General features: G+C 39.2%; 1 pseudogene, besides 1 other annotated feature; it reads right to left on the reverse strand.

Moving 5' to 3' along the window:
- Window positions 10,241–10,749, reverse strand: MOCS3P2 (molybdenum cofactor synthesis 3 pseudogene 2; annotated as a pseudogene).
- Window positions 22,238–22,743: an enhancer, noted in NCBI's record as "NANOG hESC enhancer chr13:43765633-43766138 (GRCh37/hg19 assembly coordinates)". NCBI's record gives its function as "activates a minimal SCP1, AML or CMV promoter by ChIP-STARR-seq in naive H9 embryonic stem cells {active_cell/tissue: H9 hESC(naive)}" and the evidence as "EXISTENCE:reporter gene assay evidence [ECO:0000049][PMID:30033119]".

Consider the following 26,605-nt stretch of genomic DNA (forward strand, 5'->3'; position numbering starts at 1 on the left):
AATTATTCCTCTATGACAAAGTTCACCTCCTTAAATTTCCTTTGGATCACTTTGTCTCTTGCATTGCATGTAGGTGATGAATATTGAGAACATTTATACTTCATTTAGTCATTTTCTCCCCAAACAGATATGACAATGAATAATTTTATCATAAAATCAAATAAAAAGTGAAAGGGAAGTATATTGGGTTGGTAGCATAGAAGAAAGGATGCCTGGGATTGCCGTGAGGCTGGGCTCAATGGAGATGTATCCTTCAGCTAAGAATGGGTCTCAGCCATCTCCTAGGGGCTATGAAATGTGGATGGCTGTGTTTATCATGACTAGAAGGACCTTGTGTCTCTTAATGGGTGGGGCTCAGGGATGTTAAACATCCTGTAACATTCCAGTCAAATCTTTATGATGAAGAATTTTCTGCCTTAATGCCATTAATATTCAATATAGGAATCATCTTTTTTTTTTTTTTTTTTTTTTGAGATGGAATCTCACTCTGTCACCCAGGCTGGAGTACAGTGACGCGATCTCGGCTCACTGCAACCAGCCTCCTCCTCCTGAGTTCAAGTGATTCTACTGTCTCAGCCTCCCGAGTAACTGGGACTACAGGCACCTGCCACCATGCTTGGCTAATTTTTTGTATTTTTAGTAGAGACGGGGTTTCATCGTGTTAGCCAGGAAGGTCTTGATCTCCTGACCTTGTGATCCGCCGGACTCGACCTCCCAAAGTGCTGGGATTACAGGCGTGCGTCACTGGACCCGGCGGGAATCATCTTTTATACTTTAAGTTAGTTTCACTTCAGGATATGCCGTTTGTTTCCTCCCTCCACCTTTTTTATTCTTTTTTCCCTTTCTTCCTTTTCTTCCTTATTTCATTCTTTTCTTCCCTTCCTCCTTCCAAAACTTACTAAATATCTACTAAGGGAAATGGATGGTGATGCTTACGAAAATGAATCAGACATAGGCTTGGCCTCAGGGATTAAACTCATGCAAGGAAAGATGTGACATTTGTTTAAAAATAAAGAGAATTGGGCAGAAAGAAAGTGGAGGGAAAGTAAAGGTAAAATGTTATAGATCAGAGGAGAGAGAGATGTCCCTGATGTTTTAAATGAAATGCATCTTATAAATCAACATTTCATTATGTTTTGCAGACCTCTATAGTTTACAAAGGCCTTTCCTATATGTTCTTTCGTTTACATTAATACTTACTGTAACCCAACAAAGGTACTTTATTTGCCCTCAGATTTATTCCTCACTGTTTCTCTGCTCTGCTTTGTATTAGCAGGGGCCAGACCTTGCAAACTATGCCCCCATCCTTATTAGCTGGCTGCCATCTGGGTTTAGCTAATAGGAAGCAATGGGAGATAGAGCCTTCTCCCTTAAGCAGCAGGTAGCTGCTGCTTCTCTGGCGGTCCACTTCCTACGAGAAAAGCCTTTTGTGTCTGGACTCCAGAACTCTGCTTCTTCCCTTTTCTCTCCTGCTGAGGAGTAGTATAGCTTCCTGTTGTTGAAATCTCTGGTTTACTCCACCATTCCCTTATGACTCTTAAAGTCTCCACCACCTGAGTAAGCAATACTTTGTATTAAATTCCCTGGGCTGTAAATATCTGAAAGGGATTTTGTTTTTTAAATTAGATCCTAAGTAGAAAGAAAGCACTACTCTTACCACTTTAGAGATAAGGAGAAAGTTAAACGACTTTCCCAAGTTCAACCAGCAATAAGAGGCAGAGTCCAGGTCTGTCTCCTGACTCCAAATCCAGGCTTTTATCCACTGCCTCATACTGCCTCCCTTAGAGACTATAACAATGAAAACATAATACAAATAAAGACTTTTCCAAGATCATATAAAAGACATATCAGATTGTAGAATTTTGTTTTCCCCTGTGTGCCTTTAAATTGAGATGAGCTTCTTTTGTTTTTATTGTTCTTGGGAAAAGTTAATGTATTAGCTAGATTAGGAGAATGTAACACAAGTACATATGGATATTAGCCTGACATTTGACAAAGTCATTCACGATAGCCTACTGGAACAATGCATGTTGGTACAGTCACATGGATTAGTAAATATTTGATGCAAGGTTTTAAAAAGTCCACATAGTACCTTATGCTGTCATATCTCATAATATTTCTACGATTATCATTATGACCTCACCTTGGAATGAGGAAAAGTAAAAGTCATATTGAAAATGTTTTCAGTTTAGAAAGCTTTCATAAATATATGAATCAGAGATACATTTGTCCAGGTTACCATACCCTGGCTACAAGGATATTTTAATTATCAAATATTACTAAATTAGTTACTGAATGTTACCAATCACCAAAATAACTAATTTACTAATAATTATAAAGCCCTATTCTCTGAAAAGACCTTATGGGGATGGACCAGGATCTGAAGTAAGGGCTTGGGGATATGGGCCTGGCAAAAACAGGAAGTGGAGCTCTGTGAGAAGGCTCAGTTTGGAGGGGCTGCTTGTTCAGATTTTGCTATGATTTGAATCCTATTCTTTCTCCTGGAGAACAAGAAACTAAGAATGGGAATCCAGAAGCATCAGGTCACATTCCAAGAGTGGTTACTTACACCACATCTGTCATCAGCCAAATCTATTCTGCCTTGAAACAGAGGAGAGAAATAAGAGGAGGGGCATTTGAGCCTTATTTCATAAAGTGCATGGTGTTGAATGCTAAATTATCCATGTCTTTGAAGGGCTGAGTTTGAATGAGTTCACATATACATCCCAGTGATTCTCAACTGTGGATCCTAGATAACATTTGGAAAATTGCAGGGTTGTTTTTGTTAGAAATAATCGCTACAGGTGGTTCAGTACATGTTAGTTGTTACGACAGTTCCATACAACAAAGAATTATCCTAAAATTATCACACCTACCTCCTAGGTGCTACGTATGGTACTCTGTTAGGATTGTCTGATTAATTCCATGAAGGTCTATACTCCTGGGGTGAGGGCTGTGGCTGGGGTCTCCCCTGAAAAAGAAGGACTTCCTAAGTGTCGCTTTTCTGGAGAAGAGGTGATTTATTAGGTAAAACTCCCAGAATTATTTGGTGCAAAACATCCAAGAATGTTTCTGCTTGGAACAGATGTAGGCCCACATACAAAAGAGGGTCAACGTGAGATCATATTAGAGAAGCTGGACTTATGACCAATTCCTTTGGGCGGTGGAAGTAATAAGTTGACCTATTTCATCTAACTCCACTAATGTCCACATTGTTAGGTTGGGGGAATGCGTGAGTCTTCCTTTGATGGGTGTCTCTTAGGGGCTGAAGCAGCCTCCAATGTCCAGGTGGTGATGGCAGTGATGTAAATGAAAGAGCTGCAAAGGAAGGCAAATCCAGAGAGGAAAAGAAAACAACTGCAAAGGTCATTCATCTCTTCTCATTTGGGGAGGAGTCTCCTCCCATTGCCTACTTTTTTTTTTTTTTTTTTTTTGAAACAGAGTCTTGCTGTTGCCCAGCCTAGAGTGTGATGGTGCAACTTCTGCCTCCCAGGTTCAAGTGATTCTCCAGCCTCAGCCTCCTGTGTAGGTGGGATTACAGATGCATGCCACCACACTTGGCTAATTTTTGTATTTTTAGTAGAGACGAGGTTTTACCATGTTGGCCAGGCTGGTCTCAAACTCTTGACTTCAAGTGATCCACCCGCATCGGCCTCCCAAAGTGCTGGGATTACAGGTGTGAGCCACTGCGCCCAGACCATTGCCAACTTTGGAAGATTGAAGTGTTATTATGGTATGGCTAGATGTTCATCAGTCCTATTTCCTCTTCCTGGGCACATAGACAAAATTTCCAGCACTTGGTTTGGAGCCATATGACTGGTACGGCTCATAGGATGTGGTTGAAATGATATATGACACTTCCAGACCTGGCCCTTAAAATCTCCTGTGAGATTCTTGACTCTCTCTCTGTTCCCTATCTTCATGTACGGTGGAGCCATTCTATGGGAACAACCCAGTTTCCTAGATACTGGTTAAAGCAAAACTGTCTAGAGGAGTCACAACCAACACTGGACTGATACATGATTGCAAATTAAACTTCTGTTGCATTAAGTTACTGAGATTTGAGGGTTTATTTGTTACAACAGCATAGCCTAGTTTATGTACCACAAGTTTGAAAGGGCATTAATCAATAAACTGTGGCTGATTCCTGGAGAAAAGTGTATAGTGGTATATGACAAGGCTCTGCTTTCTGCCTGTTAATGACCTGGGTGAGAACACTGGTAGAATACTGATCAAATTGGAAACTGATAGGAAACAGGAAGGAATACTTCGTGTATCTGGTAATAACATAAGAATATTTCTAAAAATAACTAGAAGATTTTAAACACTGAACCAAATCAAATACATTTCTGTAGGGCTAAATGGAAACTACTACACTTATATCCAAAAAGCCTATCTTACAAGTATAGAATAGACGATATGTGAAAAATGACTTCAAGGCTTAAAGTGACAGTAAGGTCAATATGAGCTAACATGTTGCAGTTATGTGATATAATCTTCAGCTGCATTAATATAAATATGAAGTCTGAAACTGTAGATAGTAACATTATTCTATTTTTTAGTGATTGAACCAATACTGTGCTCTCTAAATGCTTCAGTTTAAACTTTAGGACTATCCCTGTAGGAAAAAAAATAGTCACCATTATTGTAGGAGCTTGAATTAATGGTATGAGGAATAATCAAAAGAACTGGACAGGTTTACTTTGGAGAAAACTTACTTAAAGGGACCTTGATAATCACTGAAAATACATTTTATTGATATACTTCACATACCATTACACTCGCTCTTTTAAATTATACAATTCAAATTTTTTTTATATATTCACAACTAGATAGATCACCACTATCTAATTTCAGAATATTTGCATCATCCAAAAAGAAACCCTATGTACGTTAGCAGTTACTTCCTACTTCCCTCTCCCCATAGTTTCTGGTAATTGCAAATCTGCTTTAGGTCTCTATATATTTGTCTATTCTGAGAATTTCATACAAAGGGAATCATGTAATACGTGGTATTATATGTCTCACTTCTATCAGTGAGCATAATGTTTTGAAGATTCACCCATTTTGTAGAATGTATCAGTACTTCATTCTTTTTTATGGTTGAAAAATATTGCATTATATGGATATAAAACATTTTGTTTATCCATTCATCAGTTGATGAATATTTGGGTTGTGTCCACCTTTTGGCTATAGGAATAAGTCTTCCATGAACAATGCTTCTATTAACACACATTTTAAAAAAATTTTAAGTTCTGGAATACATGTGCAGAACGTGCAGGTTTGTTAGATAGCTATACATGTGCCACGGTGGTTTGCTGCACCTTTTGACCTGTCCTCTAAGTTCCCTCTCCTTGCCCCCCACCCTGCAACAGGCCCCAGTGTGTATTGTTCCCCTCCCTGTGTCCATGTGTTCTCATTGTTCAACTCCCACTTATGAGTGAGAACATTAACGCACAATTTTTTATGTGACATATGTTTTTAGTTCTTTTGAGTATTGATATGATTTGGCTGTGTGTCCCCAGCCAAATCTCATCTTCAATTGTAATCCCCACATGTTGAGGGAAGGACCTGGTGGGAGGTGACTGGATCATGGTAGCAGTATCCCTCCATACTGTTCTCAAGATAGCAAGGTACTTCTCACAAGGTCTGATGGTTTTAAAAGTGACAGGTTGTTTTTTTTTCTTGTTCTGCTCTCTCTCTCTCTTCTGTCACCATGTAAGATGTGCCTTGCCTCCCCTTGGCCTTCCACCATGATTGTAAGTTTCCTGAGGCCTCCCCAGCTATGCAGAACTGTGAGTCAATTAAACTTCTTTTGTTTAGAAATTACCCAGTCTCAGGTAGTATCTTTATAGCAATGTGAAAATGGACTAATACAGGTATATACTTAGGAATGGAAATGCTGGGTCATGTGGCAACTCCATTTAACTTTTTGAGGAACTGCCCAACTGATTTACACATCAGCTGTACTGTTTTACATTCCCACCAACAATGACAACAGTTTCAGTTTCTCCACAAACTGTCTAACACTTGCTATCATCTGTATTTTTTATTAGAACCATCCTAGTGGATGTGAAGTGGTATCTTATTCCGACTTGATTTGCATTTCTCTAATGATTAATGATGTTGAGCACCTTTTCATGTATTTATTCCCATTTGTATATCATTTTTTGAGAAATATCTATTCAGATTATTTCCCAATTTTTATTGGGTTATTTGTCTTTTTATTATCGAGTAATACTTCTTTTAATATTCTGGATACTAGACCCTGATCAGACATATAATTTGAAAATACTCTATCCCATTTTGTGGCTTCTTTCAATTTCTTGATAGTGTCTTTTGATACATAAATTTTTTTTAATTTTGAAGTCCAATGTTATTTTTTCTTTGGTTTCTTATACTTTACGTGTCATCTCTAGGAAATCATTGCCTAATGCAAGGCTGTGGAAGATTTAACCTAAGCTATCTTCATTGTCCATAATTTAAGTCTTTGATGCATTTTGAGTAAACTTATGTTTGAGTAAATATATTTTGAGTAAAAATATGGTATAAGGTACACACCCAACTTTATCTTTTTGCATGTACATATTCAGTTCACTATTTGTTGAAAAGACTATTCTTTAATTTATTTACATCCTGATGTATTATGTCCTTTCTTCTGCTTGCTTTGGGTTTAATTTACTATTCTTTGTCTAGTTTCTTAAGGAAAAAGATTAGGTGATTGATTCAGAATCTTATTTCTTTTTTAAAATACAAATACTTACAGCTGTAAATTTCCTCCTAAGCACTGCTTTCATAGCCTCCCTTAAGTTTTGGTATGTTGTGTTTTTATTTTCATGCAACTCAAATTAATGTCTCATGTTTTATTTTTTAACCCATTGGTTATTGAGAAGTGTATTGTTTAATTTCTAGATATTTATAAATATTATAAATTTCCCTCTGTTACTGATTTCTAATTTCATTCCATTATGGTCAGAGAATATACTTTGTATGATTTCAATCCTTTAAAAATACATTGAAACTTATTGTATGTCCTAACATGTGTTCTATCTCAGAGAATGTTCTATGTGTACTTGCAAAGAGTTTTTATTCTGCTACTTTTGGGTGGAATATTCTACAGATGTCTGTTAGCTCCTGCTGGCTTACAGAGCTGTTCGTGACTTCTGTTTCCTTCTTGATCTTCTGTCTAGTTGTTCTGTCTATTATTAAAAGTGAAGTGTTGAAGTCTCCAGCTATTATTGTTGAGCTGTCTATTTCTTCAATTCTGTCAGCATTTACTCTTATGTATTTTGGTGCTCTGTTATTAGGTGCATAGGTGCAAAAATTTTGTTTTGTATTGCATTGAATTGATACATCAATTTAGATAAATTGTCATCTTGGCAATATTGACTCAATATGTGTATATAAGGGTACTTCAAAACATTTGTGGAAAAAATGAAATTCAAAGATAAAAAGTATAAACTTTATTTCCAATATAAGCTCCATCAAGTTCAAGATATCTTTATAAGTTATGGTATCAGTCATTTAGCTCATCCCTAAAGAATTGAGGGTCTTGGGAATTTAATCATGTCAATGCAGTCATTTTTTGTAATATTAACTGAAGAATGGTAGGTGCCCTTTAAAGATATTTTAAGATAAGAAAAAAAAAAAAACCAGAAAAATGTCAGAAGGAGCCAAATCAGGTCTGTAAGGTGGATTCCTAATGATTTCCTGTAGAAATTTTCACAAAATTGTCCTTGTTTGATAAGAAGATAGGAGCATTATCGTGGTGGAGAAGAACTCTGGTGAAGCTTTCTCAGGCATTTTTCTACTAAAGCTTTGGTAACTTTCTCAAAATACTCTCATCATAAGGAGATATTATTGTTCTTTGGACCTTGGGCAACCCAAAAAACTGTTGCCATGACCTTTGCTCTTGGCCAGTCTGCTTTGGCTTTGACTGAACCACTTCCACTTTTTGGTAGCCATAGCTTTCATTGTGCTTTGTCTTCAGGATCATACTGGTAAAGTCACATTTCATCTCCTGTTACAATTCTGAAAAGAAATGCTTCAGGATCTTGATCTCAGTTGTTTTAAAATTTTCGTTGAAAGCTCTGCTCTTGTCTGCAGCTAATTTAGGCACAATGGTTTTGGCACTTATTAAGTGGAAAGTTTGTTCAACTTTATTCTTTTAGTCAGGATTGTGTAAGCTGAACCAATTGAGATGTCTATGGTATTGACTATTGTTTCTGCTCTTGTTGGTCTTCTTCGATTAGAGTGCAAACAAGATAAATTATTTCCCTGAAAGAAGCTCTTTTCAAACTGACGTCTTATACTTCTTAGTGCATCAAATAGGATTCGGTTCAGACATGTTATAACTAGTACAAGTTTATTTTTGTGCAAAAAGATTTTGAAATCCATTCATAGTTTTTTCATAATACACATTTTCCATGAACTTTGTGAAGACCCCTTGTATGGTATATCTCTCCACTTATTTAGATATTTTCTAACTTATCTCAGTAATGTTTTATTGTTTCCTATGTAAAGGTTTTACATATATATTTTTAGATTTTTTTCATATTTATTACAAATGGGATGTTATTGCAAATGGAATCTCTTTAAAAGTTTTATTTTCCTTTTTTTCTAGTACAAAGATATATAATTGGTATATTTACCCTGAAACTAGTACTTATAAATCATAAATTTTAGTAGCTTTAGGTTACTTTGAACTTTGTACATATATAATCTTACCTTCTAGAATAAAAAGAAAAAAGCAACCAGTTGTTTTATTTTTTCCTCTCCAACTCTTAAATATTTATTTATTATTCTGGCTGCATTGTACTGGCTATAATCTTTATTACAATATGAATATAAGTGGTGATGTCAAGAGTCCTTGATTCATTTCAAAGCTCAGAGCAAAATCTTTCAACAATTTACCATTAGCTGTGAGGATTGTTGTAGGTTTGGATAGGTATTCTTTAATAGATACAGGATATTCCTTTCTATTCTTTGTGAACAAAGAGGTTTTTGTTTTGTTATTTTTGATTTTTTTGTTTTTGTTCTCCCCTATCTGACTGTCATTTATTTCTACAACTCCTCGAGAGAAGTAGTCATAAGTGGCCTGTTCCATCTTCATAACAGAGAAGGGCATAGGATACTTAAAGCCTACCTATTCAAAGCATGAATTACAATATATTCCACAATGAAAAAGTGATGACTATCTCAATTTCGAAGTTGATTGTTAAGCAACACAGGCTTTTAAAATAAAACAAGAGCCCATTCCAGGGGTTGCAAACGGGTGACCAGTAGGGTAAATCTGGCTGTAGATGGTTTTATCTGGTCCACAGTAGTTTTAAGCTTTTGTTTTTTCTTAATTCTTCACCAGGGATACAAAAATTTTACATTTACATCTGTGATTTCTGCCTTCTCTTTTTTAAAAAAGTTGGTAATGGGCCTTAATGCAAAATCGGCTGGAGAATAAAGATCCCTTTTTTACAAGACGTGTTCTTAAATTTGCCACTGATAGTCACATATCAAATTTCTCCTTCTAATTTTGTTGTATAGTTTTGAATCTGGGCAGACTATCTGCAATTTGGTGAAAATGTTGTTTAGTATGTAAATAAACAAAAACACCTAAATTTTACATGGTTATAGAATGCTGAATAATATAAATTGAACGAAAACAGAAAAGATGAATTAAAGGACGGGGGGTGGGGGGAAGTTTGAACTTAAAGATTCCAAAGCAAGTGAGACCATGGTACATAGTTTAGAAAATGTTATATATGTACAACATAAGGTGGACTCTGAGGCTAACTTTAGGAAAACATTAGTAATTTGTGAGGGAAACTGACAGACTACAAAGGTTGTTTCCTTTATCTTCCTAACCTATCAATATCCCACTTTGATATTAATTCAAAATGTTTAATGAAATGACTTCTCTGATAGTTAAGAAAATTTACATATTAAAACACTTATTTCTGAGGATACAGTCTATCATTTGAATGAGAAGACCCAAAGAATGCCTTACTAAACAGTAAACTGCCTTTAAGTATATCATCTGTGATCAATTCAGTAAGACTAAGTTTATTACACTTCAATTCCAGGCATAAAATGACTATCTGGTAAACTACAAAGAGCTCCTTACAAAAGAAGTCCATATAATTACAGATATTGTAGAATTCCAGGCTCTTCTCTGAAAAATGCAAAGGAATCGATGTTCGAGTACTACGGTAATCCACATCTTTCTCAGGTCAGACTATACCATATACTGCAGAAATGTTTAATCAATTTTGGCAGCTCAGGCCATGAAGCCCCACCACAACATCCTGAACTGTTACAGTCTAACTCTTGGGTCGCTGTTAAGAACTGTAGGATCTTCAAGGCTTTCTGGGAAGCTTTGCTCAGTTTGCAAATCACATAAAAGGGAAGAGTTGCCTCTTCCTGTTTGCCTGGCTTCCCTTCTGGGATTGCTTCTCTTATCAGTTTCAGGCTCTTTGGTATTTCTCTATTTTAAAGATTTCAAAGGGATGTGTAGGGCATGAGTCAAATGACACATATCCACCACCATTTGAGGCCTGATGTCCCCCGTAAGGTTGGTTGTCTCAGAATCCAGAAGTGGCTTATAGTCTGTGATAGAAATCCAATCCTCAGCAACTGCAGGGAGCAGCACTGAGGACCCACAGAAGGCCTTGTAGTCTTCCAGATCTGTCACTGTGGGCAGGCCCCACAAGCACACTGCAACTGTATACTATGGAAATACCCTATGAACACATCTAAGAGTGAGAGGTGAAGCCAGTTGGACTTCTAGGTTGGGTGGGGACTTGGATAACTTTTCTATCTTACAGGAGGATTGTAAAATGCACCAATCAGCACTCTGTAGTTAGGATTGTAAAACGTGCCAATCAGCGCTCTGTGGCTAGCTAGAGGTTTGTAAAATGAGCCAATCAGTGCTCTGCGGCTAGCTAGAGGTTTGTAAAATGGACCAATCAGCACTCTGTGAAATGGACCAATCAGCACACTGCAAAATGGACCAATCAGATCTCTGTAAAATGGACCAATCAGCAGGAGGTGGGCCGGGACAAATAAGGGAATAAAAGCTGGCCGCCCACAACAAGCCAACAGCAACCCACTAGTCCCTTTCCAGGCTGTGGTAGCTTTGTTCTCTCGCTCTTTACAGTAAATCTTGCTGCTGGTCACTCTTTGGGTCCGTGCCACCTTTCAGAGCTGTAACACTCACAGGGGAGGTCCACTTCTTCATTCTTGAAGTCAGCTAGACCATGAACCGGCAGGAAGGAACCAATTAGGGCACAAGAGCAACAGGCTGCTACTGCAAAGAGGCCCAAACAGCAGAGATCTCAGCACTTCCAGCATCCGCAGGCAACCCTACATGTTGACCCCTGTCTCACTGCCACCCCCTGATGTTCCCCCCACCCACGCTCCATCTGCCCGGTTGGAAGTGGTTTGGGGGAAGAGGAAGGGATAGCAAGTGGTAGACTATCACGTGGTCCCCCAAGCACAGGAGAGGTTGGCCAGCATTTATTAACCACGTGGTGAACGGCATGTTGTCTGAACAGTCACCATCAGGTCCTAGCAGCAGGCCAGATCAGCGCAGTGTCGTGAGGGCCCGGACTTAGGGAACGCATCCATGGCCAAGGTGAGGTAGCAGAAGCAGAAAAGGCCAAGGCCCAGCAGGCCAGCCAGCCCCTCAAACTGCAGCCCGCACTGCTGGTACATAGTCGTTGTGTGCAAACTTCAGCCATGCCAGCGCAGGCAGCACTAGCTGTTGGCTGAGCGCAGTCTCGACTTGGTGGCCTTCGGAAGACCGAACCAGGGGCTCGGGCTCAGGCTCTGGCTCGTGCTTTAACAGAAGCCTCCACCGGTGTCTGCTTCCGCGAACTGAGCTCCTCCTCCTGCTGGGCAACTTCAGTTGCAAGATGAGTGTCTCCTCCCTAGAGGCCATGGTTTGGAAGTCATTTTCAATACAATGATTTCAATACATACATTCAACACATACATTTCATTCAATACATTGATTTTTGAATGTGAAATCCAACTTTTTTTCTTAAACCCAAATTGTTCATGGTGTGTTATCATTTTTGTAGTTTGCTATATTTGATTTACTAAAATTTTGTATATCATTTATTGCATCTGTGTAAATGAGAGAGCTGGAGCTCTAGTTTTATTGTAATGTCACTGGCAAATTTTGGTTTCAGTGTTATGCTGTCCTCATAAAATGATTTGGTGAGTATTGTCTCTTTTAATACTTTACAGAATTTGTCTATTTTATGTAATTTTTTCCATAAATATTTCATGGAAGTCACTGGTGAATTCTGGATCTAGAATTTTCATTAAGGGAAGGTTTCAATAGATACAGAACTATTTTGAGTTTGCATTTCGTTTTGATAAGTTGCACTTTCCTTAGGGTTTATTTCATCTAAAATTTTAAATTAATCGGCCCAAAGTTGTTCACAATGATCTCTTATGAGCTTTCTAATGTCTAATGGGACCTGTAATAATGTACGCTTTCTCAGCCCTAATTTTAGTTGTGTGAGCGCTCTCTATAGAAACTCACACCCCTGACCAGGGCTCATTTTTTTGGGCTGGCCAGCTCCAGCCCTGGGCCAACTCTAGCCTTGTGTCTGTTTTTATAAAATAAAGTTTTGTTGGGACACAATCATACTTATTCATTTGTATATTATCTATAGCAGCACCACAATGCCAGAGATGAGGAGTTTCACAGAGACCGTAAAGTCTGCAAAGACCAAAAAAAAAAAAAAAAAAAAAATTTTTTTTATCTGGTCCTTTACAGAAGAAGTTATTTTATTCCTGATCTAGGCTATTAGTCTACTGAATGAACCAACTTTTTGTCTTAGTTTCTCCTCTCCTATGTTTATTTCAGTAATATCTTTTATTTTTTATTTAAATTTAATTTGCTTTTTAAAAACTTCTTGAAATAGTTTCTCAGATAAATTGATTTCCAGTTCTTCTTGACTGGCTTATTAAGCCATAAATTTCCCTCTAAATAAGGCTTTGACTGTGATTCATAAGCTTTGATATATTTTCATTATCATTTAGTTCAAAATATTTTCTAATTTGCATTATAATTTTTTATTTGAATCTTGGGTTATTTAGCATTGGATTTCTTAATTTCCAGATATATTTTCTAGTTATTGTTTGTTTTTAATTTCTAGGTGAATTTTAGAGTCCCCTGGGAATACAGCATGTATGATTTTTTTTTTTTCTTTGAAATTTTTGAGACCTGCCCCATTCTCCAACATATGGTCAATTTTGGTAAATATTCTGTGTGCACTTGAAAAAAATGTGCATTCTGAAATTGTGTTCAGTGTTCTAAATATGTCAATTAGGCCACGTTTTGTAATCCTGTTGCACTAATCTGTATCCTTACTGATGTATTGTTTGCTTGTTCTATCTGTTATTGAGAGAGTTATGTTATAATCTCTCATTGTAATTGTGAATTTTTTACATGTCCTTTTACTTCTGTTATTTTGGCTTTACATATTTTTCATACAAATATGGGTTAGGTACATATAACTTCAGAATTGTATGTGATCCTGGTGGATTAACCATTTTATCTTGTGAAACATCCTTATTTATCTCTGGTAATTAACCCTGCCTCAATGTTTATTTTCCTGATATTTAATAAATTGTAGCAGCTAATTCTTTGCTCAAAATTCCAATGTCCTATCTCTTCCTTCTTTTTTTATCTGACCAATGGATTCACACATCACACAATTCTTTACTTTCAATATTTAAATGCTCTTATAATTAGTACCTGTTTCCTATCAGCAATATATGGCTGATTTTTATTAAGTCTAATCTACCAGTCTTTATATTTCATTTTCAGTATTTAGTATAGATTTATGTATTTACTGATATATTTTAGTAAAGGCTATTTTTCCCACTTGTTATCTTTCTTTTTCTAATCTTTATTGACTCTTTTGAATTATTTCTCATAATTCAAATGTTCTCTGTTAATATTTATGTTATTTTAGTAGTTATCTTAAATTACTGACTTTTTAGAAAATAAAACAATGCCTTTACCTCTCCCAGACAATGTAAGGACTTTAAATCTATTCCCTCTCCATCAACTTACGTGATATTGTTGTCATGTGTGTTGATTCTATATAAATTTTAAATCCTAGAGGATGCGATTGTGTTATAGAGTCAGTATTCTTTTACATTTACCCATATTGTCACTAGTTCTATTGGTTGTTACTCCTTTTGGCATCTCCTTGCTTCATTGAGAAGTCATCTTTCTTCAACTTAAAGAATACGTCAGTATTGGCTGGGTGCGGTGGCTCACACCTGTAATCCCAGCAATTTGGGAGGCCACGGTGGGCAGATCACCTGAGGTCAGGAGTTCGAGACCAGCCTGCCTGCCCAATGTGGCGAAACCTCGTCTCTACTAAAAGTACAAAAATTAGCTGGGCATGATGGCGGGCGCCTGTAATCCCAGCTACTTAGGAGGCAGAGGCAGGAGAATTGCTTGAACCCGGGAGGTAGAAGTTGCAGTGCACTAAGATCTTGCCACTACACTCCAGCCTGGGCGATAAGAGCGAGACTCCATCTCAAAAAAAAAAAAAAAAAAAAAAAAAAAAGGATTTCCTTTAGTGTGAAGCTTCTGTGGTGGTTTTTTTTCCTTAGCTTTGTTTGACTGAAAAATGTCTTTATCTTCTTTTTTTTTTTTTTTTATAATGAGACTTTATCTTCCTGCCTTTCTAATTTCCTCCTGGTTTTTATTTTCAAAATTTTAAGTGTGATATTTTCTAGGTGTGATTTCCTTCTATGTATCTTTCTTGTGGCTAATGGAGCTTGGTTAGTATCCTTTTTCTGTTGGAACATTGAGGGTCATCGTTATTTCTTCAGCTGTTACTTTTGCTCTATTTTCTCTCCCTGGAACTCCCATTATAGGTCTGTCAGACTTTTCACCATGTCCCATTTAATTCTTAAGTTTTTTTCCTGTATTTTCCATCTTTTTGTCCCTTTGTGTCAATCAATACATTTTATTTTGGCCTATATTCCAGTTTACTAAACATCTTTTTAATAGTATCTTTTTCCTTTCTTTTCTTTTTTTTTAGAGACAGGGTCTCACTCTATCACCCAGGCTGGAGTGCAATGGTGTGATCATAGCTCACTGTAACCTCGAACTATTGGGCCCAAGTGTTCCTCCTGCCTCAGCCTCTCAAGTAGCTGGGACAAGAGGCGTGCACCTTGAACTGTACCTAATTGGCTTTTAAATCTATCCATTTGGAATCATGCTATGAGGATTTTTTTAAAACAGCTTTATTGAGACATTAATTCACACACCATACAATTCACCCATTTAAAGTGTATAATTCAGTGGCTTTTAGTATATTTACATGGTTGTGTATCCATCACCACATTTCTTTTTTACATTTAGAACATTATTAGAACATTTTTATTACCTGGAAAAGAAACCCTGACCTCTTAGTCATCACCACTTAACCTCCCATCATGCCCACCTCTGGGCAACCACTAGTCTGCTTTCTGTCTCTATAGATTTGCTTGTTTTTGACATTTTATATAAATGAAATCATGCAGTATGTGGTATTTTGTGGCTGGTTTCTTTCACTTAGCATAGTTTTCAAGGTGGATCCATGTTGTACCATGTAGCAGTCTTCATTTGTTTTTATTTCTGAATAACAATGTATACATGTACCATATTTTATTTATTCATCTGTTGATGGATATTTATGTTGTTTCCATCTATTGAGTTTTATATTTCACTGATAGTTTTCAGCTTTAGAATGTAATTTGATTATTTTTTATATTTTCTGGTTCTAACTCTTGTCAGAACTTCTTGTTAATTTATTGAACATATCTAGCTGTGTCTTACAGCTACAGTATCTGGATTGTTTTTGTTGTCGCTGCTCTGTTTCTGTTTCTTTTTCTCTCTTTTTTTTCTCTTTAGCCTTGCTTTTTTGTATACCTATTTATTCTTTATTGAACTCTTCAGATATTTTTCATGAAAAATGGCAGAGATAATTTGTGGCTCTGGATTATGCTATCCCCTCCAGAGAGGATTTACTTTGTTTCTGGCAGGCATTTAGGCAAGGAAGTTGATGACCTTAATCCAATCAAGCTTGACTTAAGTGTGAGGTGTGGTCTGTTGCTGGTTCACCCACGCATTTTAGGCCTCCAATCCTGAAAGCCCAGGGTGCTTACCAGGGCCCCTTCTTCTTAGTGATTTCCAAGTTTTGACTGTTAAATCTGGAGCTGTTAAAAGCCCTTCTCTGTTTCTCAGACTCTTAGCTGCCACCTTGACTTTGAACATCAGTAACAGCTGTAAGTATCAACGTGACTCTGAATTGTGGGTTTACATTTTTTTGGTTTTCTCCTCTTCCATATCTTTGCCTCACAAGTCTTACTTTCTTGATAGGTCTCATGTCTTTAAAAATATTTTTAAAATATATATTATCCTGCTTCTCTGGTTATTCTCAGCCAGAAGGCTTCTTTGAAACTATCTAGTTGGCCGATGCTGGAAACAGAAGTCTACCCACGAATTTGTTAAGAATCATTTCTTTCAAGGATATGGTAAAGCAAGCATTCTTACACATGGCTGATTAGAGTATAATCTAGTTCACCTCTCTAAAAAGCAGTGTTTCAGTTAGCCCATGGCCTTAAACACATTATACCCTTTGACTCAGCCATTCTAATTCTGTGAGCAAATCAGAAATAAATTATTAGAGAGGCAGAAAATATATTTACATACAAGGATATTCACTAAAACTCTTAATAGAGAAAACTGGATGTCAACTAAATATTCAATGATAAGGATGATAATTATGGTACATCTATGAGATAGAATAGTCTGTGGTGATTCAAAATCATGTATTGAAAAATATTTATTGATATAGAAGAATAAGATATAAAGAGGAAAATGATACATACTTTTCATGTAGCATGATTCCAATTTTTAAAAAAGTTACATGTTTAGGGAAAATGCTGGAAAGATACAAACCAATTTTTAATGAACTTAATGTTAGATGGTGAGATTAAGGGTTTTTAAACATTTTCTTCTTTATATATTTTTGTATTTTCAAAGGTTTTTAATATTGAGTGTGTACTATTTTTATAATGAAGAAAAAGTCACAAAAAAACCCTAAACTCACTTTTAATCTGGCAGATTATATTCCATTCTTTTAATACAGACTTTAGCAAGCTAGAAATTCTTTACATTTTTAAAGTCTTAGAAATTAAGACAAAGACACTTGCAGAAAACCACATGGGATGTTGCTGGAGAGATGACAGTGAGCATCTTCATCATGCTCCAGGGAGCAGTTGGCTGCATGACTCTAGTTGTTGTTTCAATAGTTGACAGAGGTTTCAGCCTTTGTAGACTTGGTGGTCTTCAGACTCTTACTGATTGAAAAAATACTTCTCTACAAAAGTACAACAGATTTTGGAGTCTTTTTCATTGTGAAAGTCATATATCCAACCAGATTTTATTAGCTACAGTTTTTGTTTTCAAAACCTCTGGGTGTTATTAGGGAAATTCTCTTCTTGAAATTCAAAATTGATTTTCCAGCTGGACGCAGTGGCTCATGCCTGTAATCCCAGCACTTTGGGAAGCTGAGGCGGACGGATCACTTGAGGCCAAGAGTTTGAGACCAGCCTGGCTAACATGGTGAAATCCCATCTCTACCAAAACATTAGCTAGGCATGGAGGTGTGTGCCTGTGGTCCCAGCTACTTGGGAGGCGGAGGCAAGAGAATTGCTCGAACCTGGGAGGCGGAGGTTGCAGTGAGCCAAGATTGCGCTGCTGCACTCCAGCCTGGGTGACAAAGTGAGACTTTGTCTCCAAAAAGGAAAAAAAAAAACCAAAAAACAAAACGCTTCAAATCCATTTTCATAAGAACCAATTTTTCCCACTGTTCTTTACAGAACAGGTCATTTATGAAGGGATCTTATCTTGGAAGAGGGAGGGTAAGAAGAGACAGTTTGGTTATTTGACTGATTACATAGCAACTCCATATGGGATGTTTTATTTCACATTCTTGAGTTAATCCTTAACTAATTTCTCATATCTGACCTCTGTTTTCTTTGAAATGTTGGTGAACATGTCAAACATTCTTCCCACCCACCTCGACACTTTACTTTCTTCCCCAGCTTGGTTTCAGATAACTGGCAACCTTATGATGTTTATTGCTTCAGATATGGACAGTTTAGGAACTATCCAAAGTTTCTCATTGCTCATCTGTAATAATACTTTTCATGATGGCACTAGAATCCTAAATTCTGGTCTGATTCAGGAAGATGGTCTATTTTCATATTTAAATTGGCCTGAAAAAAGTAAGGCCTTGTTGATACAGGTAGGGGTCCACTACCCTGAAATGTTGCTCAAAAGCACATTTCAATTTTATTCAAAAGCTGCTTTGATGTGTATTCCCCCAAAGCACCTTAGCTGAAAATCAAATTTTATTTTAGAGCTTTGTACAGACCAATGTCTCTTTCTAGCTTCCTGTACACCAATAAAATTGTGTATTTCAATTTAACCTCAATCTGCCTGTGTTTAAAATATAAAGCTAAGGTTAAGGGCTTTCACTGCTAGCAACCCTACCTGGACATCTCTATTTCTAGATAAAACCTTTTACTGAGAACATTTTATTAGTCCTGCAGCTCAACGCTGCCATATATGCCAGCCTGTCCTATTAATCCTTAGCTACAAAAATATCAGAATCATTTATGAGCTAAAGTTTTTTTTTTTTTTTTAGCTTTTTAATTTTCTGAGCCTTTGTGGTATTATTTGGGTCAGTTTGGTTGCTGGGGCTCCACCTCTTCCCACCTGCCCCCAACCCAGTGTCTCTGAGTTGGGGAGAAGAGTCTCAGGACCATGGGGACCAAGAGGCTTTAGGGCTGACCACCTACTGTAACTGGCTGTCTCATGCTGGCCCCTTGGCCTGATTTGGGATGCGAGATGCCCCATCACTTTCCTTTTGTGTTGTTCCTCAAGTCCTGGAATCCCACAGTAGCTCACCTTGTTTTTACCACCCTTTTCTCTTCTTTGGGGCCTACTGCACTATTTCCAAATTTTATAGTGTGTTTAGTGGGAAGAGCTGGGAGAAATGGCTCTGCACCATTTTGTATAGACTAGCTCTTTTTAGCTATATAAAAGGTTTCTTCTATTCAGACTTCTCCTCTTGTTCATAAAATGACACTCTACCTTCAGAGACCACATGTGATTTTAATGCCAGGATTCCAAGGCTTGTTCTCTGTCATATACAAAAACAATGATTAGGTTGAAGTGGTACAGAACCTTGAAATACTCTCTGGACCAGTTCTCCAGCTGAGACTCAGGATCACCTAGGACCCAGTTCCAGACATCATACTCATACTTCAATGTCATACTCAAATGAGCTTGGCAGAAATGCATAAATGTGTTAGAATTAGGGCCTGAGGAACCACTGTCATGCTTCTTTCTGCCCTTTCATGGTTAACAAAAACAGACTGACTGCTGAGCCAGGGATCTTTGTTTCTTGGAAGATTTTGCCTCACCTAACAGAAGCTTAGGTGGGTTCTTGCCTCCTAACAGAAGCTTGGCTGTGTCCACATTTTTATTCATCAAAGCAGGGGTCTCCAGTGAAGTGTGGACGTCACCAATGGGCTTTAGGAATGTTTGGTGGCTCCTGGAGAACTGGTAGAACAGACTGGAAACCTGAGTGTCTCCTGGAAAACAACTTCAGCCACATCCACTGCTGGAGTTCAGACAGAGGCATATGCTGTTCTTGACTCTTCTCTTTCATTTACCTTCCATATGTAAGACATCCACAAATCTGTTACCACCATCTTCCAATATATCCAGAATCCAATAACTTCTCATCAGCTCCCTTACTACCTCCCTGACAAGCCACCATCCACTCTCAGTGGACTACTGCACTAGCCCACTAGCTCATCTTTCCTCCCCTGTATCTCCCCTACCCCAGAAATGCAAGTCAGATGATGAAACTCATCTGTTTAAATCCATCCAATGTTTTCCATCTCATTCAGGGTCAAATGCAAAGTTCTTCAGTGGCCTATAGTGCCTGGCATGATCTAGCCCTGATACTTTACTAGTTTCATTTGCTTCTTCTCTCCTCCTTGCTCATTTCTCTCCAGCAATGTCAGTCCTTAAACGTACCAAGCACTCCCCCACTTCAGCACCCTTATCCTTGAATCCCCCAACCGCAATGTTCTTCCCCCACACATCTGCATGGCTCACTCTTCACCTGCTCAGATAGCAACCCTGTCAGGTTTTGCAGACCACTCTGTAAAATTTGTTCTCTACTCTTGGGTTGCTCTTAATCCCCTTATCCTGCTCTATTTTTCTTCATGGCACTTGGCATCACCCAACATAGATATGTATCTGTTTGCCTCTTTGCCCCTTATGGAAATGAGAGATAGGACTTTAATGCATTCCTTCTGTGTATCCAGAACCTAGAACAGAGCTTGGCATGTGATGGGCTTCCACTGTTTAATGAATAAATGAAGGAGTAAATGAATCAAGATAACCTCGTACATCTCTTCAAGGTGGAACTGGAAAGCCTCCCAGAGGAACTCGTCAGAAAGAAATAAGGCCTACAAGAGTTTTAACCAGTAACCGAGAAAGGTAATTCTGAAAACAGTATAATGACTGTCTTTAGGCCCAATGCCCACTGGACACATGTCTGGTCTTTGGAAAACAATAAGGTTGTAAATAAGATCAGAAAGATTCATTTACCTGAACTATAAAATATGAGTGCGGAAACGACACTGCTGTGGGAGTGTTGTTCTTCCCCTTTTGCCAGGCATTAGTTTTCTATCCTGTGTAACACAATACCAGACATCATCATTATGTCACAGTTCTGTAGGTCAGAAGTCCAGGCAGCCTTGGCCGTGTTCTCTGCTTAGGGTCTCATGCAGCTGATGTTAGGGTCTTGGTTGAGCTGGACTCTTATCTGGAGGTTCTGGGGAAAAATCTGCTATCGAGCTCATTCAGGTTGTGGCAGAATTAAGTTCCTTGCAGTTGCAGGGCTGAGGGTCCCATGTTTTTTCTGGCTGTCATCTGGGAGCCACTTTCAGCTTCTAGAGGCACCTGCATTTCTCCCTACGTTGCCCATCCATCTTCAAGCAAGCAACAGCACCTCAAATCCTTCTTGTGCTTTGAATCTCTCTGCCTTCTCTCTCTACCATTAGCTGGCGAAAACTCTGCTTTTAAAGAGTTCCTTAGGTTTATGTTGGACCCACCCGGATAATCTTTCTTTTGCAAATAAGGTAGCATAATCACAGAAGTGATAGCTCATCATATTTACAGATTCCACTTACACTCAGAAGGACCCACACTGTGAGTCATTCTTAGAAGTCCACCACACATCACGATCCAGCTAGGCACTAAGAGGGTTCCTGGGATCAGAGTGATACCTGATGGAGGAGCAGTGGTCCCCACTGTACCTGCAAGACCATTAGTGGGGGACTGTTTTGCCATGGGGCATATTGAAGAGAAATGGGCTACTTCTGGGAGTGGCAGCAAGATCCTTTAAGCCTGATAGGCTAGAGGCACTTGCAGGAATAGACCTGTTTATGCGCCTATGATGATGACTTTATAGAGACCTATAGAAAGACTTGCAAAGAATTTCCAAAGGTTAAGTGATCCTGCAAGGCCACAGATGAATCAAATGTGAGTTATTACTGTTCGAGTGACCATGTTTGTGTGCATACAGTAGTGAGGACTGGAAAAATGTTCCCCAGGTCAGAGCAGATGTTAGTGACTTAATCTAATGAAGTCCTGAAGATCTGAAGGACCAATGACCCTTCTATGTCCTTGTCCTTTCAATTTCAAGATTCTAAACCTGGTAAATAGCTAAGCCAGTATTCAACCACAGGTTGTCAAGCTCAAAAGCCCATGAATTTTCTCAAGAACTCTGCCAGGGATGGGAAATGGGTGGCATGCTTACCATGACGCAGCACTCCTGTGCCCTATCACTGACCACTCACCACCTTCCTGCAGCCTAGGAATCATCACGACTGCTGTCGACTACCACTGGCAATTAAATCAGAGTTGAAATCCAGGGCAGAACTTAACTCCCATCCCTGGAGACCACACTGTATCTCAAATTCCAGCAATGCCAGAACCAGAAAGATTTCCGCCAATTTCTTACTCAGCTGCAAAATCATATATTGTAAATGTTAGAGGAATACCTTGACTCTCTCTATTGTGTACCTTTAGTTGAATCTGACTAGGGGAAGGGAAGTTAAAATAACTGAAATCTTTTATACATTTTTGGACTATTAAACTTATAATTCTGGGATTTTCCTCTCCTAGCTTTTCTTTTTTTTTTTTTTCTAAGTATTTCACTGATTAAAATGAATGAGAAAGGAATTAAAATGAATAAATGGCAGGAATGTAGACCCAAAGAGGATACACTAAAGCCATTTGTGCTATTTAAACTTCTTAGAGGGAACTGATGTTAACATTAAGAGGCTGTGCTCTGTTCCCACAGAGAAGTAGCCTTAGGCAAGCTGTCAGGAAGCTCAAGTTGATGGAAGTTACTGGAAGCTCTGAGAGGCGGAGGGGGAGGGGGTTGGGGGGCATCTCTTGGATGGTGCAGCAGCTGTATTTGGAACTGGGAAGGTAGGGAAGGGGCTACTGGAGTGTCATGTAGTCCTATATTTTGAAATGCAAAGTTATCTTCTTTGTATTGATATTTCTAGGATGCATTCACATGATGCAGCCATCTCACACTAAAGATCAGATACTTCTTTCCAGATATTTCTTGTTCAGACAACCGAGACAAAAAGAAAAACCATACTTGAGCCTCAAAGACAGCAAACGGAGGTTACTCTTAAATTGGCCTTATAAGCCCGTGATCTAACCCCTACCTACTCCACCATCACTTCTCAGGATCTGGGCGGAAGCCTCACTGGCCTCAAGGTTTTCGGTGTGGCTGTTCTCCCTTTGGCCTGCTCTTGCCTACCTCTTTGTCAGACTAACTCCTATTTAGTGGTGCATGATAGACACATCTGATAGCAATAACTCAACGTAAGCATACCCTGAGAATGACCCTGAGAATGGCCCTTATGGCAGACACATCTGAATGTGGTTTTCAAGCTCGGGAATCTGGGAGCGGCCAACCTGGAGATTCATTCCTTATCTATGAGGAACACCTGAGCCCCCAGCCCGTTTTCCCCCCACCGCCCCGGAACCTGGGTCAGACAGTGGATCTAGGCCCTTTGTGTTGGGTTAAATTAAGGTTGCCAGGTGGGGGTTGTTGGGAGAGGGTGCTAAGTGAAGGTGCTGTACAAACTGCATGCTTTTTAACAAGCAACGGTGGTTCTCTTGTCTAGCCTGCTGTCACTGCACCATCTCTTTGGGTAAGTTTCCCACTGATAAAACCCTGTGTCTTGTTTGCTGGTTCTGGGACTCTTCCTTGGCTTCTTGAACTTGGTGTTGTCCCTACTGAAGTGAATAGGGATCCAACATGACAAGTTCTCTTGTCTTAATTTAGGTGCATGCCTTGTGGGGCTCTTCTCTGCCTTGCAAACCTTATCAGATGCCCCAGTTACACACTTGCCTAGAGCCTTGTACTTTGCCTCAGTCACACTTGTGGTTACTGCTCAGTAATGCTTATTGAATAATTAATTTATTGTGTGCTGTAGTTCTTTTTATAAATGAGATTGTCAATTTCTTGAGGCCGGGAATTAAGTCTCTTTCGTTCACTGCTGTATCTGCAAAACCTCGCTCGGTATTTAATACTCAGCAAGGGCTTGGCAAATATGTGTTGAATGAATTACCGTGAGAAACAAAAAAACTAGAACCCTGGAGCACTGGCTATGATAAAAACATGCAGCAGGTGGGTTTTGTTTTCAAGGCACTTCTTCCTCTGGTAGCATCTCTCTTCCTGCATACATCCACACATGCCAGGCTCATGTTCATAGGGCTTAGCTCCCAGTTGACTGTTAGGTATTTCCTCAACTAACGAACTGAGTTGACAATGACCAGGGCTGTTTTGAGCTATATTTGGAGAATTTTAAACAACAGAGATGTTTCTAAACTTTCAGCTGCTTGGAAGATTTTAAATTGGTAACCAAGGTAGTGATCTAGGAGATGTCATGTGCTATAAGGAGATTCTCCCCCATACTATTAAAGGAATCTCCAAAATGAGGCCGCATAGCAGATGGGGGTAGGTGGGAGGGAAATTTTTGTGGCAGTGGTGATGCAGGTGGAGTGAATTAGATCAGCTGTTTTTGTTTTTAACAGAAAATTGTGATGGTTGAAACTGTCTGACAAGACAGCTGGCATTTTTATTAAAGCCTTCAGCAACTACACACCTCAATAATATGAGGAGGGGCCCTGCCTGGTTGATTGGTAGGTGGATGGTTAATTGGTTGTTTTCTTCTGGTCAAGCTTGACTTTCTAAATGTGTAATAAAGTCATAAGACTTCCATGCGTTTGCCCGAAATGAGCTTTTCTGGTCAGAATTAACTATGTGTAGGCTGGTGCTCCCAGAGTGGTTGGTAGACATTTTATTTGGTTTTGTGCTCCCCCAACAGGGAGTAGCCCTTTTAGGACAGGAAGCCCATTTCCCAGATCTGTGTCCAGAGCCTCAAGCCCAGTGCATCACGAGTCACTCCTTAAGACGGATGTGTTGATTTAAACCCAAACGAATGTTTTAGAGGAGCCGCCTGGCCTGGCCTCTCTCACTACCAAGCGTTGGTTGGCCAGGGAGAAACAAGTCTGAGGTGTCTGGTGTGCGTGCGCATGCGCGCCCTTTCTCCTTTTTTCCTTCCGAGTTTTTCTCTCCTCTCTCCTGCCTTTCTTTCTCTTCTTTCTTCCTCCTTGTCTCTATCTCAGTTTCTGTTTCTGAGTGATTCTTGTCTGTTTCTCTCCCTTTTCCTCCATTCTCTGTGACATGAAGGGTTTATAAGTTGTTAAGTGCACAAGCAACCCTTGGCAAGAGGAGAAAAGAGGGCAGAAATCCAGCTACACTATACTGGCTGAGGCATAAGTGCTGGCATGGGATTTTGTCTGCCCAGAGAAGGCATCTTTTTCTAATGTACACAAAAGTGTTTTGGGGGCTAACAGCGGCCCTTTCTTTCCCTAGAATATTACCAGGGAAAACAGTCATTTTCTACTTTCCTCTGGATCCGGGCTTCCTCGTATCTCAAAAAACCCGTCATTACCCTCCTTCTCTCATCTGCTGACCAAACCTGGGCAGGTTGGAATTGCATTTCTATTGGAAACGTATTATTAAAAAAGTGTTTTGCAGTATTTAGGGCTTGTGTCTTTTTTTCTGCTTATCTTTTATTTTTGTTGGGCTCTTTTGAGTAGAAGAGCTAAACTTTTAATCATTTTCCTTAGATGTTTCCCTCTAATTTTCTCTTCCCAATTGTCTATATAACTAAACCCTCCTAAGCTCTTGTTGATCCTCTGGCAGTGAAGGTGTGTTTATATAACAGTGGTGTTTGTTCCATAATCTCTGACTGAAAATATTGAGGGTGGGAAACCTTTGCATCTGCAAGCTGCCTGACAATCAGAACTGCAGACAGGGAAGTTGGCGTTTTGAGAATGCTCTTGAGATTGAGGTCCATTTCTAATTATCTCTTGTATCTTTAGTTCCTGGCACATTGCTTAGCACATAACAGGCATTCGTAAAGACTGCTGAATGCCTGAAGAAGTGAGTGAATAAATCCTCCTCTAGCCACAGGCTATTTAGGAGACTCACACTAGTATTAGGAGTAGCTGGTATAAATCCAGGTCAGGGCAGGCACTGTCCCTTACATTCCACTGACCTGAGCTGCAGTGAGATGATACTTGTATTAGGCTCTTGTGAGATTCAAGAAACAGGAGCATGCTAAGGTTAACCCCTTAAAGAACATAAAATACATGGAAGTCAGGGAGACTGGAAACCAGCTCAGTATGTATAGAGAAGGTCTCCCGCAAGACCACGCAGATCAAGAGAGCAGGAGAGATTGTTCCCTGACCTGCTGCTCCACCATTGTGATGACAGTGATTTTGGCCTGCCTCTGCTATTCCCGTTGACTGCTGCTTGCTCTTCTCCAACCTCACACCTCTGCCTGGTGTCTGGCCTTGGAGTTTCTCCCAGTTTCTGTGGATTCTCCTTTCTGGTGGCTGTCACTATAGGTCCCACCGTCCAGCTCTTCTGACTGGGTTGTCCAGCTATGTCCAAAAGAGGTCCTGCTGTAGAATGCAGAGCCCTTGTACCAGGCTGCATCAGGGACACTGTTCTGGATGTGGCAAGCCCCTCAGACAGGGACTATTGGGGCAGGCATTTGAGGCTTCCCAGAAGTACTTGGGCTGTGCGCTTTGTGAAGATTGCTGCTGTATCTTGAGTGTCAAACCAGAATGCTTTTTCAGTTTACAGTCATACCTCATTCACTTAGGGCTGGCTGTCTCAGGAATACTTTTATGATACACACAAATGCAAATCCATGATGGTGCCAAACCTTATGTAGTCAGTAAAAAGACAAAAGAACCCCAGGTTGACAATAGAGGGAGCACTTTCGAAGCTCTCAGGCAGGGGCACCTGCAGGTCATAGAGACCTAGCTCTCCTTGATTTAGGGTCACTTTTCCTCAGCTGTGATCTGTCCTTATGTTCTTCACCCACAATGCCT

The sequence above is a fragment of the Homo sapiens genome, chromosome 13 (assembly GCF_000001405.40).
Source record: "Homo sapiens chromosome 13, GRCh38.p14 Primary Assembly".
Classification (NCBI taxonomy): domain Eukaryota; kingdom Metazoa; phylum Chordata; class Mammalia; order Primates; family Hominidae; genus Homo; species Homo sapiens.